At 53.0% G+C, this 16,626-nt stretch overlaps 1 protein-coding gene across 13 annotated transcripts in view; it reads left to right on the forward strand.

The window, feature by feature from the left end:
- Window positions 1–16,626, forward strand: part of ATP11A (ATPase phospholipid transporting 11A) — a 197,131-nt gene that overhangs the window by 135,364 nt on the left and 45,141 nt on the right. For all 13 annotated transcript variants that reach the window (NM_015205.3, XM_011537480.3, NM_001405663.1 and 10 more), the window contains exons 11-16: window positions 29–179; window positions 1,293–1,490; window positions 5,974–6,147; window positions 7,459–7,622; window positions 9,188–9,259; window positions 10,777–10,850. In NM_015205.3, coding sequence (NP_056020.2) covers window positions 29–179; window positions 1,293–1,490; window positions 5,974–6,147; window positions 7,459–7,622; window positions 9,188–9,259; window positions 10,777–10,850 — 833 coding nt within the window. The remainder of the gene's footprint in view (window positions 1–28; window positions 180–1,292; window positions 1,491–5,973; window positions 6,148–7,458; window positions 7,623–9,187; window positions 9,260–10,776; window positions 10,851–16,626) is intronic.

A 16,626-nucleotide genomic window follows, 5' to 3' on the forward strand; every position in this document is an offset into this window, starting at 1 on the left:
AGTGATCACCTCTGTCCTTTTGTTTTAGATCGATGAATGCGTTCCTCATTGTGTATCTCTGCATTCTGATCAGCAAAGCCCTGATAAACACTGTGCTGAAATACATGTGGCAGAGTGAGCCCTTTCGGGATGAGCCGTGGTATAATCAGAAAACGGAGTCGGAAAGGCAGAGGAATCTGGTATGGAGAATCACTGCCCTTGTATGATCCGAGGTGACCTGTGGGCCATTATTACGAAAATGTGGTGCAAGAAAAAGATGACGGTGAATTTACTGTAGGCAAAAAGCAGCTTGATTGATTCAGTCTCTGTGATAGATGCATTCACTGAAATTTAAAGTCTCAGTGGACACCAGCTGCTCCTGCCATCTTTGGATCTGGAAAGGTACAGGTTCCCACAGTGAAATCATCAGGACAATACCTTAAATACTTGCACTGTGTCCTTTGTTTAGAGAGTGCTGAGAAAATGCTTGTTAATGATTATGAGATAAATGGCACATATTTGTGGTAAATACTTGGAAAAAAGGGTCTGCTCCCAGTCCAGAGCAGGGCCATGTGCAAACCGAGACCTGTGTCCACTGAGCCTAGAGCAGGACTGTGTGCAAACCCAGACCTGTGTCCACTGACCCTAGAGCAGGGCCATGAACAAACCCAGACCCATATCCACTGAGCCTATAGCAGGGCCGTGTGCAAACCCAGACCTGTGTCCCCACTGTCCAGAGCAGGGCCGTGTGCAAACCCAGACCCATATCCACTGAGCCTGGAGCAGGGCCGTGTGCAAACCCAGACCTGTGTCCCCTCCGTCCAGAGCGGGGCTATCTCTGCATCATCTGTCCTTCCCACAAAACTAACATGGCCCCACAGATCAGGATAAAAGTATACTGAAAAGTCATTTCACCAGGCTTAGTTTTTACATCTGTAGGTTGTTACCAAGTATGTTTTGTTATAAGAGACACAAAGAGATCCCATGAATATGCAGAAGTAAAATTGCCGCTGGTGTCTGGTTGGCGTGTCTCCTGTCATCGGCACATGCTTGTCTTAACTCGTGATTTAATCTCCACTTGCTGGCAGGACAGCCCCACAGCTCAGCCCCTGGACCCGGCAGGTCCTGGCTCAGAGACCAGGTGACCCAGTGGCTGCCTTCCGCCCATAGTCCTTGTCTTTGGACTCTGAAATCTTGTATTTAGTAGTAGCGCTCGTATAACTTATGCCTAAGCCTGAGGTGTTAGAGCAGCATGTTGGAGGCCTGCTGTCCCTCCTGGTGGAGGTGCTGACCCGCACCTTCTGCTCTTGCAGTTCCTCAAGGCATTCACGGACTTCCTGGCCTTCATGGTCCTCTTTAACTACATCATCCCTGTGTCCATGTACGTCACGGTCGAGATGCAGAAGTTCCTCGGCTCTTACTTCATCACCTGGGACGAAGACATGTTTGACGAGGAGACTGGCGAGGGGCCTCTGGTGAACACGTCGGACCTCAATGAAGAGCTGGGACAGGTTGGTGTCTCCTGAGTCATCTGCTGTGATTTATTAACATCTGGGTGAGTCTGCTTCACGTTCCTCAGGTCCTGTGCCTGTCATCCGAGCGTGGCTGTACCTGTAGCTGGCGTAAGACAGCAGCAGGGTTGTTTTGAACCCTATTTATGAAACAGTCAGCCGTGCTGTTACATTTACAACAGATGCAGAATTACCTGCACTTGCTGACTCCTGGAAACTCATTGGAGCTTCCTGGGCAGAACTCTTTCTGTGTGCAGGTGTGAATCAAGGCTGGTGGGTAAAAGTGGCTTTGCCAGCCTTGCACTCTGCTTCTGCACCTGATATTCAAGTCTCATGGCGAGCTGGGTATTTTCACTTTAAAGATGAACAAACCAGATTTTCAGTGACTTGGTGGATTGCAAAGAGTTCAGACGCCTCCATTCAGATCCTGCTGCTGCATGATGGCTGCGGGAGCTCGGGCTTCACCGCCACACCTCGAGTGTCTCAGTCTGTGAAATGGAGATGATAACAGATGCTGGCCTTACAGGATTGGGTTGCAGATTAAATGAGATAATGGACACAAGGTGCACAGCACAGAGTCTGGTGTGACCACCGCCCTGCCACCGCACCACCGGGAGGCACACACCAGACCTGCTGGCTTGAAGGGAGCTAGGGAAAGACCCATTCCCTGGGTTTCCCCAGCCTAGAGCGGTGACCTTCCCTACCTTCCCAGCCTTAACGTTGCAGAGTGCAGGGTTGCCGGAGCAGGTACCAGTAAACGGTAATTGGATTTTTCGGAAGAAATAGCGATTTTGAAGGATATTTTAGCAAACAAGGCCACTTTAGACAGGTAGCTGAAATCTCCATCTCGCTCCCAGATGACAGCCTGTAAATAGACTTAGACTCTGGCAGATACAGAGGCCTCTCTCTGCCTCCTGTGAGGAAGGCCAACAAACGGAAGGATCATGTTCCACATTTGATGAGTTTGACTTTTGAATGTGTTCCTCCAGCATGTCCCATACTCCTCACAGTGCTTTATTGTTTGAGTCAGCAATGCGCAAACTATAATTTAGTTGTTCAATAGTCAGGTATTTTTATCTAGGAATATTCTATCTCCTTTGCAACAATAGATGGTACATTTTGTGAGCTTCTGATAAATTCTTTGGGAAAGAACTTTTTTCTGTAACAAGGAAAGTGCCCAGCAGCGTTGAGTGTGGGGGAAAGCGCCCAGCAGCGTTGAGTGGGGGGAAGCGCCCAGCAGCGTTGAGTAGGGGGGAAAGCGCCCAGCAGCGTTGAGTGGGGGGAAAGCGCCCAGCAGCATTGAGTGCGGGGGAAAGCGCCCAGCAGTGTTGAGTGCAGGGGAAAGCACCTAGCAGTATGGAGTGGGAGGAAAGCACCCAGCAGTGTTGAGTAGGGGGGAAAGTACCCAGAAGTGTTGAGTAGGGGGGAAAGCACCCAGCAGTGTTGAGTGGGGGGAAAGCACCCAGCAGTGTTAAGTAGGAGGGAAAGTGCCCAGTGGTGTTGAGTAGGGGGGAAAGCGCCCAGCGGTGTTGAGTGGGGGGAAAGTGCCCAGCAGTGTTGAGTAGGTGGGAAAGCGCCCAGAAGTGTTGAGTATGGAGGAAAGTGCCCAGCGGTGTTGAGTGTGGGGAAAGCGCCCAGCAGTGTTGAGTAGGGGGGAAAGCGCCAAGAAGTGTTGAGTGCGGGGGAAAGTGCCCAGCGGTGTTGAGTGCAAGGGAAAGCGCCCAGCAGCATTGAGCACGGCAGATTTCTTCTCTGCCCTCTTCAGTCCATCTCCTTGGAGTTCTGCAAAACAGAATTTAATTTCTGTTGTTCTGTCCTGACCAAAACCAGGCTCCAGCTTGGAGGCTGACCTCCTCGTACACAAAGAAGTGTGTACTGTTGCTCACGGGGGACACACTGAGGTCAAGACGGGTGGACAAGCCCAAAAGGCAGGTTCATCTGACCGCAGCTCTGTGGGTAAACGCCTGTGCCCACTGTCGCTGTGCAGTACGATAACACGACTTCTTTTGTATGTGAAATAGATTCACCCACCAGTCAAGCGTCTGTGTCCACAACAGAAACAACCATCTGCCATGGAGATCCTGTGCCAGAAGCACTTCGTGCACCTTCTCTGTGTCCTGTGCACACTTTATGCACCTTCTCTGTATCCTGTGTGCTCAGTGCTATTGCGCCGTTTCTCAAATGAGAAACTGAGTCAGGAGCAGGCAGTGCCCCGTTCTGCGATGCAGTGCTGCCTCCCGAGCACGAGTGCCTTGGAACACAAATCTTGCTTCAGGCCAAGTTAGCAGGCAGGCGTGCGTTGTAGTGAGGGCCATCTTTTGTTCCTAGAGCTGAGGGTGATGGCAGCATTGACCAGCACTGGGCTTAGGGTTGACTGTCCCACCACCAGAAAAGAAAATTGCAGGCCAGGACCCCTGATGAACAAAGTTGCAAAAATCCTCAACAAAATACTAGCAAACCAATTCAGCAGCATACAAAAGGATCATACCCCACCTGTGGGATGCCAGGGTGGCTCAATGTGTGCAAATCAGTAAGTGTAGTGCATTACGTCTGCAAAATGAAGGACAAAACCATATGATTATCTGTGATGCAGAAAAGGCATTGGACAAAATTCAGCATCCTTTCATAACATCTCTCAACAAATTTTAGGTATAGAGGAATGTACCTCAACACAATAAAGGCCATAAATGAGAAACCCACAGCTGGCAATGGAGAAAAGGTGAAAGCTTTTCCTCTGAGATCAGAAAGAAGACAAGGCTGCACACATTCACCCCTTCTATTTAGCATAGCACTGGAAGCTCTAGCCAGAGCAGTGAGGCAAGAAAAAGAAAAGGCATTCGTATAGGAAAGGAAGAAGTGAAATTGTTTGCTGATGACACAATCTTATATATAGAAAAGCCTAAAGACTCCACCAAAAAGCTTTTAGAACTAATCAACAAATTCACTAAATTTGCAGGATACAAAATCAACACCCAAAATCAGTAGTGATTCTATATACCAGACAAGAAACTATTTGAAAAAGAAATCAAAGACTTTAATAAACTTGCTTAATAGTAACAAAGCAAACAATCTTATCTCTGCGTCCCGAGCTAACAGAACTGACTGGATTTGTGTCCAGAGGTTTTAAGCTTTTGTTTCCACGTTCTTAAAACTGGGATAATAACACAGTTGATGTGTTAATAACAGTTGAAGATTAAATGAGGCTCTGCCCAGTGGCTGGCACACCCTGAGTGCTCAGTAAAGGTCTTTTATAATTAATTTTTTTTATTGTTCACTTTCATGGTCATGTTTCCTAGAAATATGCCACCTATTTAGTTATAGCTAAACAGGATGATAAACCAAACCTCTTAACATTTGTTATCTCATTCTTATCCATTTTACCCTTTTAAAAATGCTTTTAGGGCCAGGCACAGTGGCTCATGCCTGTAATCCCAACACTTTGGGAGGCTGAGGTGGGTGGATCGCCTGAGGTCAGGATTTCAAGACCAGCCTGGCCAACATGGCGAAACTCCCATCTCTACTAAAAATACAAAAATTAGCCAGACGTGGTGGCAGGTGCCTGTAATCCCAGCTACTCTGGTGGCTGAGGCATGAGAATTGCTTGAACCTGGGAGACGGAGGTTGCAGTGAGCCGAGATCATACCACTGCACTGCAGTCTGGGTGACAGGGTGAGACTCCGTCTCAAAAAAAATAAATAAAAATAAAAATGCTTTTGGGATTGAAAAGCGTTTATTCTAAGTTACTTCAAAGTCCTGTATAAGAAGGGTACACAGGTTGAATATCCCTTATTCAAAATGCTTGGGAAGAAGTGTCCCTGTGGACGCGCCCAAGCTCAGTCTCAAGATGCTGCCGTGCGTTCCAGAACTCCTACCTTCAGTTATTCACGATAAACGTGTGACCCATGAGCTTATCTAAAATCAGAGTTTAAGACGGGTTGTATCTTTAACACATATCACAGTTTTCTCTGAGATTTGTTTTGTCCTTATTTGCTTGAATTTTACCTTCTCAACCTTACATGGTATTGTAGGTTTTGACCTCCAAGACTGTATAGAGTAAGTTCGTCCTCTCTGTAGCCTTGGTTTTTTATTGTTGTTGTTAAGATTCGGGACAACCCACTTACACTCTGTCTTCCCAAACAAATGGAGCCCTGGCCCCACCCATGTCTCTGTCCCGGGGAATGGGACTATGAGACCATACTCTGTTTTGCTCCCAACCCAGAGAAGGTATCCCGAGGCCTCCCCACCCATCCTCCTGAATTGCACCTGCCAGGACTGCAGGGTCCTGTTGGACGCTGGGAAGGAGGATGAGGCAGGAGCATGGCTCAGCCCAGTGAGGGGGTCTGTCTGGGGGAAAGCCTTTAGAAATCCACCGCCTATTCAAGTCACAGTGGGAGCTGGGGAGGAAACACGGCTGCTGTGTGTCTGAGTCGGGGACGTGCGGGCCTCCCTCAGAGCGCCCTGACTTGCTGTGCCCTGCCCGCAGGTGGAGTACATCTTCACAGACAAGACCGGCACCCTCACGGAAAACAACATGGAGTTCAAGGAGTGCTGCATCGAAGGCCATGTCTACGTGCCCCACGTCATCTGCAACGGGCAGGTCCTCCCAGAGTCGTCAGGAATCGACATGATTGACTCGTCCCCCAGCGTCAACGGGAGGGTAGGTGGCAGCCCCCACGCCGTCCAAGTGTGTGAGTGAGTGGGCGGCTGTGCATGCTGAGTCCACCCCTTTTCACTCGAGTGTCCAGGAAAATCCAGGCCCTCTCTACGGACTTCAGTGGGAGGGATGGTCAGAAGGTGCGATGTGTGTGGTGTCCCGTTAGGACACATCTGCTCAGTGATACCCGTGTTAGAATTGGTTATGAAAACCATAGAAGCAGGGCAAACACACATGCATGCACCCAGACACCATGTGCACACGGACACACATGCACACACGCTCACATGCAAACACATGCACTCACACACGCCCAGATACTGTGTGCACACACACACATGCAGACACACGCACTCACACATGCCCAGACACTGTGTGCACACACAGACACACATGCACACATGCAGACACACACACTCACACATGCCCAGACACCGTGTGCACACACAGACACACATGCACACACGCTCACATGCAGACACACTCTCACACACTCCCTGACACTGTGTGCACACATGCTCACATGCAGACACACACGTACTCTCACACACGCCCAGTTACCGTGTGCACGCACAGACACATGCTCACACGCAGACACACACATGCACTCTCACACACGCCCCAAATGCCGTGGCTCCAGATCTCAGCATCTCTGGGCAGGGCTGAAGTCCCAGGCTGATGCTGTTCCTGAATTTCCCCGCACACAGGGCAGCCTCGGGGATCAGGTCCCAGCCGGCTGTGGCCCTGAGCACATCACTTCACCTTCCTAAACGCTGATTCTGCAGCTGCAGGCGCAGGATAATAGCTCCAACTTCTTAAGGGGTTTCAGGGTGAATGTGACAATGTGAGTCAACAGCAGGAGCGCCACAGGTCACGCCTAGTCTAACACACGCTTTGGTTAGGAGAACGTCCCCATCGCACAGGCACCAGGGCAGAGGCACAGCCAGGGTCCAGGGTGTTTGTGAATGTCTGTGTTCGTGGCACCGTGTGACTCAGTCTCCCTTCCTGGACGCTAGCGGTCACTTGCCATTTCTGAGCGCACGTGAAGCCTCTGTGGTTTCTAGAAGTGTCGGTGCTGAACGCACGCCCGTTTAGCCTTCCTCACCCGTCAGTCTCAATTACAAAACAGAGTGCTTGAGAACGATGGAAAGCTGTAATTCCATCCCACTGTATAACCCCTCACCGCCCACAAGCTGCCTTCGTGGCCGCGGGGACCCCCCCCACCCCGCTTCTTGTTATCTCTCTGCGCCTGTTTCCCTCTATCTTCAGTGGACGCACCGTGATTTGGGGGTTCTGGGAACTGCTTTTTTATAGGAGCGCGAGGAGCTGTTTTTCCGGGCCCTCTGTCTCTGCCACACCGTCCAGGTGAAAGACGATGACAGCGTAGACGGCCCCAGGAAATCGCCGGACGGGGGGAAATCCTGTGTGTACATCTCATCCTCGCCCGACGAGGTGGCGCTGGTCGAAGGTGTCCAGAGGTACGTCGCGGGCCAAGGGTCTGCCTGGGTTTCCTGATGTGACTCAGCCCCTCCCCAGCCCCAGTCAGGGATTTGCACCTAGAGGCGTCCTCAGCCCCACCCTGTGCCCTCCACACTGAGCTGTGCTGCCTTTGCACCCAGCTTCTCTGGACCCCCGTCCCTGTATGAGCCCCTCCCACCGTGATAAGCAGCGTCTGGTCCCCGGCGCGTGAGTCTTCATCTCTGACTTTGCGTGGGTGGCTTTTCCTCCTGAGGTCTGCAGTAAGTTAGAGGTCATTCCAAATAACCACAGGCTTCAAAATACGGAAACAATCATTCTTTTAACACAAATCTCCCTCCTGCATCTCAGAAAACTGAAGCCCAGAGGCCCAGCGGCCTTCCCAGAGCCACAGCCTGGGCCGGACAGAGCAGAGCTGGTGCGGGACCTCTCACCGCCCACCCTTTAAGCAAACGCTTGGAAAAATACTTTAAACATTCCAGATACATGGCATAATTTCAACTCAGGGGAGCCATTTTCAAATCCATCCAGCTCATGACTTCTGTATTACTGAACCTCCCCTCCCCAAAAGTGCCTTCAGGGACTGAGTATGGTGAGAATCATGTTCGCGCTTCTCACCTCATTACAGCCATGTTTTTGTCGCTGCTAAACTAATGTGTTTTCTCCATGCAACTTGAGTAGCAGCACAGATACGTCAACAGTATCACCGGGGCCCTTCGTTCCATGCGTAAACCCACACATGCGTAGGTGAGGCTTCTTGGAGCTGGGTTTCTCTCTTCTTGAAACACAAGTGCCCAGGAATGCCACTGCCTTCATCACAGGTGTTAGAAGTCAGGGCAGGCTACCCCGCCCACCTTTGAGACTCCTCCCTGCCCTGAAGCTTTTCCTCCAGCCGCTGCTCCCACCTGGGCTGGCCAGAGGCCTCCACTGCCATCCCCCTGGTGCCGCGAAGCACGTCTGTCTCCCGGGTCCTCTGCTGGCCTCTCGCATCCCAAAGCCATGCTCTGTCTCTGCCGTCCCAGTGGCTCCCACAAGGCCCTGAAGGTCGCTGACCCCCAGGCGTGCAGGAGGAGGCATTGTATAGATGGGTGCACCCACGTGCTGGCTGAAGGCCTGCGCTGGACCTTCGTTCCCCGTCAGTGACTCAAGGGCCTTGGTGTGGGGGTAACAGCCTCTCAGGGTCCCTCTCCCTCTGGCATCGTGTTCTCCGCTCAACAACAACAAAGTCCACGAATCAATGAGCAAAAGTGTCATCGAAGCAAGGATTGCAGGCCATGTGCCTGCCATGCTCTTCTGGAGAACAATACTGACAAGAATGTGCCTCACTGCTGTGTGCCAAGGAGGGTTGGGTTGGGTAGAAATTCTCTTGCTCTTGGAAGATTTTTTGAGATGGTGAATAAGTTCATTATGATAATTTCCTAACTTTATAATGCAGTTTATAATCTCTGTTTAACTGAAAGTATTTCTTTTTTGAAAAGAACGCTTTACCAAAATATAAAGCAAATACTCTATGAAAGAGGAACATCAGAATCTCAGATTCACCCCGAGGTTTCCCTTCTCATTGCAGACTTGGCTTTACCTACCTAAGGCTGAAGGACAATTACATGGAGATATTAAACAGGGAGAACCACATCGAAAGGTATGTGCAGACCTCACCCTCAGATGTGAAAGGACTAACGAATAAAGAGTGTTCTTTATAAGGTTCTGCGTTTGAGGGAAAAGACAAGTTCTCTATGTTCTCCCACAATTCGCTTCCTCTCCTTCCCAGTGACACCCCAGGAATGTCACCAGAATGTTCTGGAGAAGTGCTGGACACTTAGAGAAGGGCTTGGGTGCAGCCACAGCGCTGCTTCCCCTGGATGGTTTTTCTTGGAGATGTAAATTGGAGTTCAGTGAACAAAAGTTCACTGTCAAATATGTTTTGGGTTAAGCCACCTGAAGTCAGGTTTTGCTGCAGGCCGCGTTCTGACCTCTCCAGGCCCCTTTGCCTCCACGAGGGGAGTGAGCAGCTGCCCCCGGTGTGGCCATGAGTCCCGCAGGGAGGAACCCTGGCTCACGTGCTGGGAGCACAGCGTCGTGTCGAAAACAGTTTGCACAGTTACGCTTTTCAGTCACCAGTTTGATGTTGGATTGTTTTACTTTTCATATCTTTAAAACTCTTCCCATTTTTTAGGGACTGTCTCTGTCCCAAATTGCTTGTCCCTGAGATAAGTGACCCATCTTGAGATCTGACTCAGGAGAGGGGGTGGTGGCTTATCAACAAGCACGAATGTGCGGTCATGGTTCCGGCAAAGACACAAGATCTGGTGGTGATGGCCTCAAAACACGTGGATTTTAAAATTTCATTCTTAGGGAAAATAAACTCCCCAGTGGAAGAGAAAGGACAAATCCCTTGATTCGGCGGGGCTCCTGGGCCCTCCGCTGGCACCAGCTGCACCCTCTCCACAGCACCCTGGGCTTCCCGGGGGCCGCAACTCACTGCCGTTGAGGCTCCGGGTTTGCAGCCGTGGAGGTAGTGAGGTCGTGGCCTAGATGAGAGCCCCCATCAGGGCTCTGCCAAGGGACCCCTGGCTCTGAGCTGGGCTGGCACTGCGGCCAGAGCCCCTCCGCAGCTTCCCACTGAGTCCAAGGCCCTGAGGAGGCTGAGGGGCAGCAGCGGGGGCTGCCAAACACTTCCGATGCTCCAGACGCCACACAGGTTTTCTGAGTCTTCCGGTAACAGGACAGCACCAGCCAAAACGCTTTTTCCTTTGGTTTTGATCTCTTAGGGTAACGCCAGTTCATTGACAAGGATCCAATCTCTGACACAACTTTGAGTCTCTGTTCAGCGGTGTTTAGGGAGGGAGTCGGTGCGTAGGGAACGCAGCCTGCTTGGCAGAATCTGAGCCTATGCCCTGGGTAGGATGGGGACGTAGTGAGGAGCCGGTGCCACAGGGCCCAGACTCTGCCCCACTGGGTACACCTGCTGCGTCCTTCAAATCCAGGCCTCTCAGGGCATCCATGGGAGGACACCCCTCACCCAGCAGCCCTCTGTGTGTCCCCTGAGGAAGGGCCAGGGCTGCCCCAGCCATTCTGCTGTGGAGAGCTCCACAGTTACCAGATGGAATCACGTGAGCACCCGTGTGGACGGTGTGACCTTCTGCATTTCTCTTTCAGGTTTGAATTGCTGGAAATTTTGAGTTTTGACTCAGTCAGAAGGAGAATGAGTGTAATTGTAAAATCTGCTACAGGTAAAATTTCTTTTTCTTTTGATTTATTAAGTTATACGTGGTGGTTGTGTTTTATTCTGATGACTAAATTCTACAGGAGCTTTAAGGATTTAGGGTTTAAGAATGATTTATTCTTTTTTTAAAAACTATAGACAAATCCTCTCAAAATACTAATTTTTTATTTTTAAAAAGTGCAACATTTCTGGAATGCTGAGGAAGGAGTCCTGGGCTAAACATCCGGCACCCTTGCTCTGTCCATCTTTTAGTGTCGAGTTGGGGCCACTTTACTGTTGAAAATTGCTTAATTCCATTTGTGAAAGTTCCTCTGCCCATCCCTATCCCCCACCCGCTTTTCTCCATGCAGAGCTAAATGACATAAAATGTTTTTAAATAACCATTTTCAAGGAAAAGGTAATGTGGGTTTGCAAATGTATCTATAATAATGTTCAAAGTTGCAAAGTGAGCTTTGTTGATTGGCAGTTGCCGTAACAGTGTGTCTGTGAGAACAGCACACTCGGTTCGTGCTCCGGAATGCTGGGATGAGCAGTGGCGGGGCACAGTCAGAGCCCTGTGGCCGCCATGATGTTTTGGTGACCCACACGGTTGGGCACTCTCCTGATCCTCCCACTCTGACCTGTGGCTGCCCCTGTCCCTGACGATTGCCTCTGCAGTCCAGGTGGATGCATCTGTGGTCCCCTGACCTCCCTGCGAGGAGCTCTCCCAGGCACTTTGCATCCCCCAAGCACAGGTGGACGACCTCGTCTCCCCCCACCCTCAGCAGGTCACGACACATGCCACAGGTCACTCAACACCGCAGCCCCTCAGGCTCCCGCCCACAGTGCTGAGGCTTGAACGTGCAGGCGCCCCTGGCTGTTTGCCCTGGACAGGCAGGGCCCGTGGGCTCCGTCTGCAGAGGCCACCCCTTTGCATGGCCATCACTTCCTAAGAGCTCCCACCGCCCCCTCTGAGGCTCTCACTCACCTTCATCACCAGGTTGTCCTCAAGTGTCCCCAGAGGGCACTGCCCACAGCCCCCACAGTGGCCTTGTTCCCCGCTTCCTGCCGTGGGCTTTCCCATAGGAAGGGCCTTTCACCCATCTGTCCTTTCCACGGACGGCTCAGGAAGCCTCTCCCGGACCTCAGCCCCATAGCAGCGTGCAGGACATTGCTCTATGGTGGAGCTGTCTGTCCGTCTGCAGCCACTGGCTGCCTGCACGCATCCCGAACGCAGAACCGATGCTCTTCTCAGCAACACGCTGACGTCACGCCACCCTCCGCCGAGTGCTCCCAAATCCTGTGCCGTTCAGAGCCCTCCACGCAGCGTCAGAGCAGGGCTTCATTAAGAGCTGTGGGATCTCACTCTTCATTGTTTCCTAAAACCAGACACTCCCAGGCTGCATTTAGCTCTTTGGAAAGATGCCTGGCAAACAACCAAACAGCCACTCCCCGGAACCAGACAGGCTGGAGAGCTTCATGCCAGCATTTTCCTAAGATGTGCCGAGTTTAATTTTAACACAGTAGACAGAGCAGGGCCATCATCAGTGCCGTCGGGCACCCTTCGGATCAGGACCATGGTGCCTCACTTCCTAAGACCCCGAAGGAGCTGTAGGGGGAGGCAGTGTGACTCTCGGTGACGCCCTGTGAGTCATAGCGGCTCTGGGGTGGGCAGCAGCCTCAGGAGGGAGGAGGGTGCCATGGCTGCTCTGGGGGGCTGCCGCCTGCCTTCGCTGGTTCCTTAGACACAGTCCCACTGTGTCACACAGCATCACCTCTGAGACACGCCATCAAATGTGGGATGAATCCAGGCTCCACAGTGAGATGTCTACTGATGGTCATAGGATGAGGAACAATCTGTGTGTGAATGTTGCCAGGACTCCCACGAAGAGCTTTTGCCAGCCAGACCGTGGGATCAGCAGGACAGGGTCTGAGAACAGGTTCAGATGCGCGAGACTTCTGTGTGTCAGAACCCTTCCCCCCGGCTCGGATGAGGCGCAGTCCTGAGAGTCTCAGCCACTCGGAGTTATCTGGGATAAACGCATCCTGGGTGGGAAGTTCCTGGTCCATCCCGTCACGTGGTTTTCCCCGTAGCAGTCGAATCTAGCTGTTGAGCCATGGCTGGAACATGCTGCCCGTGACCTGCGGGGCTGACTCACGTGGTTTTCCCCGTAGCAGTCGAATCTAGCTGTTGAGCCGTGGCTGGAACATGCTGCCCGTGACCTGCGGGGCTGACCACGGTGCCCAAGAAGGCAAGCATCAGCCACCCCGGAGCCGCCCCTGCCGCGCACTCACCCCGGAGCTGGCCCTGCCACACGCTCACAAGGGGTTTTTGCTGCATCCTGAATGCCCAAGACCTCAGGGCATTGTGGGCTATGCCGTGGAATCTTTGTAAATAACTTCTGTTACTATCAAAAGGCTGAAGAGCCGCTGGATCACTCGAAGAATCCGGGTTGGAGGCATTTGTGCCATGAGAATATCCCTATCCGCACTGGGACGCCTGTGGACCTCCTAGGGCCTCTCCAAGGAACTGAGAGCTTGCAGGAGAGACGGCCCTGCCATCTGAAGCCAGCCACTCATCAGTTACTTTTAAGAGAAGTTTGAATATGTAATTAAGCAAGGTGTTCTGTAAGTAGTAGTCATCCCCGGAGAGGTTCACTAATTGCACTGGAGTTCTCCCTGCTGGGCGGGGAGACCCTGCAGCCAGCTCACAGCTCGTGTTTCCTCCTGGGCTCAGCCCTGTAGGGGGTTGCGGCTGTCAGAGCCGGATCTCACTGTTTTGGGGCTGAGCAGCCCCAACAGGGGCCTCCCATGATGTCCGCAGGACCCTTTTTTATATGTCTGTACCTCAGTCATGTGTGCTTTCCTGGGATTCTCCACGGTGGAATTTTGAGGAAGGACTTCGGAAGTCACAGGCCACTCGGCTGCATCAGGCCTTCCCTTTCAAAGGCAGATGTGAAATCTCTCTTTTGGGGGATCCTGCGGATGCTTACTGCACCCAAGGTATTATGTACGCAGTACACAGAAGACCGACTCGAAAGAAGAAAAGGAGAGTACATAAGCATATTCATCTATGAAAAAGAAAAGCAAGCAGAAAAGATGAAAGAGAAGGAAAGTCCTAACAGTGCACCCTCCTGGAGCTCCTCCAGGAGCTGCTTCCTTGATGCCCTTTTTCCAGCCATTTCGGGGACATTTGCTGTCACGCCTGGCTTTCCATGTCCTTGAGCTGGTCTGTGAGACACAGTGAAAGACCCCCCACCATGGGCTCAAACTGTGGTTCTATAGCCCTTTCTCTTCTCCAAATGGCAGTAAGCCCTTCTTGGTCCCAGAGGGGACAGCCACCAACCACGGCTGCACCTGCGACACAACCCAGCTGTCTTGGGGACAGGATCCTGTGTGTTCGGTTATGTCACCTGTGTGTGCACGGTCTTCAGTTGCTCATTGTAGATTAACTTTTGCTCTGTCCTCTGGGTTTTTTTATTCCAAGGCTGTTCCTCACCAAGTCTTCAGGCTGAAGGTGTCCTGTGTCTTACAGTGGAATTCACAAGCTGAGACAGTGGGAAAGTTAAGCCATTCACATGCTCTTGGCATGAGTTGTGAGCCATGAAACATGAATTTTCTAGTAAAAAATGTGCTGTTGTTCAAGAATGCATCATTATGTCATTTGGACCACAGTTCTCATTCTGAACTGTATCTGATGAAACAACAGCGTTGGCTGGAAACCATGGGAGTCGGGAAACGGCTCTGACATCGATTGGGTAGTTTAACCCCCGGGCCCTGCTTTTCTATGCTAAGCAACTGAGACTCTGTGGTCACACCTCTGCAGTTCTGCAGAGATCCTCCAGGGTCCAACTCCCAGCCTCAGCCTGCTCACTCCCGTGCCCTCCAGCCTCAGCCTCCCCACTCTCCCGTGCCCTCCAGCCTCAGCCTCCCCACTCTCCCATCCCCCCCAGCCTCAGCCTCCCCACTCTCCCGTGCCGTCCAGCCTCAGCCTCCCCACTCTCCCGTGCCCTCCAGCCTCAGCCTCCCCACTCTCCCGTGCCCTCCAGCCTCAGCCTCCCCACTCTCCCGTGCCCTCCAGCCTCAGCCTCCCCACTCTCCCGTGCCCTCCAGACTCAGCCTCCCCACTCTCCCGTGCCTTCCAGCCTCAGCCTCCCCATTCTCTCATCCCCCCTGCCTCAGCCTCCTTACTCTCCTGTCCCCTCCAGCCTCAGCCTCCCCATTCTCTCATCCCCCCCCAGCCTCAGCCTCCCTACTCTCCTGTCCCCTCCAGCCTCAGCCTCCCCACTTTCTCATCCCCCCCCAGCCTCAGCCTCCCTACTCTCCTGTCCCCTCCAGCCTCAGCCTCCGTCCTCCCCCATGCCCTCCAGCCTTTGCTCGGCACTGGTTTGCTGCATGTATTGGCAACACCTGTGTCACCAGGTGCCATCCTCTCTGGCTGCAGGTTGGCAGCCACCTCAGCCACATGAGCGTCAAGTGTAGCCATGTTCCCACAGCTTCCCTGTTGGTGTCTCAGGAGTTAGTGCTTCCTGGCATCCAGGAAGGAAGGCAAGGCGGACCCCTGTTCCTACTCCTGAGTCCTCGTCCAAGCTCCAGGCCTTGGATCCGGGTCGTCAGCCCGAGAGCGTCCCCTCCCCATGTCCCTCCCACCACCACCCTGGGGACCACTGCCTGCCCACTCTGGGGCCCTCTGGATTTGGTCCCCAGTAGACTTCCCGAGGGCCCTCAGTGTCTGGGGGTCTCAGGGCTCTGCCCCGCCAGGAGCTGGGCATGGAGCTTCCTACGCGTGCCGCTCAGGCTGCTGTGGTGTTTCTCCCACCCTGCCGTCACCGCGCCGTAGCACGGCGTTTCCCTGCACCCAGGCACAAACCAGCCGCCTGGCAGAGTGCCACGTGGCTTCGCGGACCAGGGATGCTTCAGGTGCAGAGGGAGCTCTGTGTGTCGGGAGCACCTGCGCCCAGGCACAAACCAGCCGCCTGGCAGAGTGCCACGTGGCTTCGCGGACCACGGATGCTTCAGGTGCAGAGGGGGCTCTGTGTGTCGGGAGCACCTGCGCCCAGGCACAAACCAGCCGCCTGGCAGAGTGCCACGTGGCTTCGCGGACCAGGGATGCTTCAGGTGTAGAGGGGGCTCTGTGTGTCGGGAGCACCTGCGCCCAGGCACAAACCAGCCGCCTGGCAGAGTGCCACGTGGCTTCGCCGTCCAGGGATGCTTCAGGTGCAGAGGGGGCTCTGTGTGTCGGGAGCACCTGCGCCCAGGCACAAACCAGCCGCCTGGCAGAGTGCCACGTGGCTTGGTGGACCAGGGATACTTCAGGTGCAGAGGGGGCTCTGTGTGTCGGGAGCACCTGCGCCCAGGCACAAACTAGCCACCTGGCAGAGTGCCACGTGGCTTCGCCGTCCAGGGATGCTTCAGGTGCAGAGGGGGCTCTGTGTGTCAGGAGCAGGTGACATCACAGCAGAACTGTCGTGGCCTTTGCTGTATGCTGCAGTGCCTGGAAGAGAAACTCGCTTTATCTGAGGCCTGAGAAGCCCACGTTCACAGCACAAGTATGTCCACAGCGATCACAGTGTTACTGGACGTGTGGGAAAAAATGACGCAAACGTTTCCCCTGACTCTTCCAAGTTCAGAGGTGGCCCGGCTGCCTTGCTCTGCATGAGGACAGATGACTCTCCGAAGGGGATTTGTGTTCACCTTCCAGCATTTCAGAAACCAGGACCCCCTTTGGGTCACCCCAACGCCCGTCCCGAGGGCATTTTGTCCCCTTTCGTGTCTTTCCCAGAGAAAAAACAGAGTCCCGGAGC

Source organism: Homo sapiens, chromosome 13, assembly GCF_000001405.40.
Source record: "Homo sapiens chromosome 13, GRCh38.p14 Primary Assembly".
NCBI classification, from domain to species: domain Eukaryota; kingdom Metazoa; phylum Chordata; class Mammalia; order Primates; family Hominidae; genus Homo; species Homo sapiens.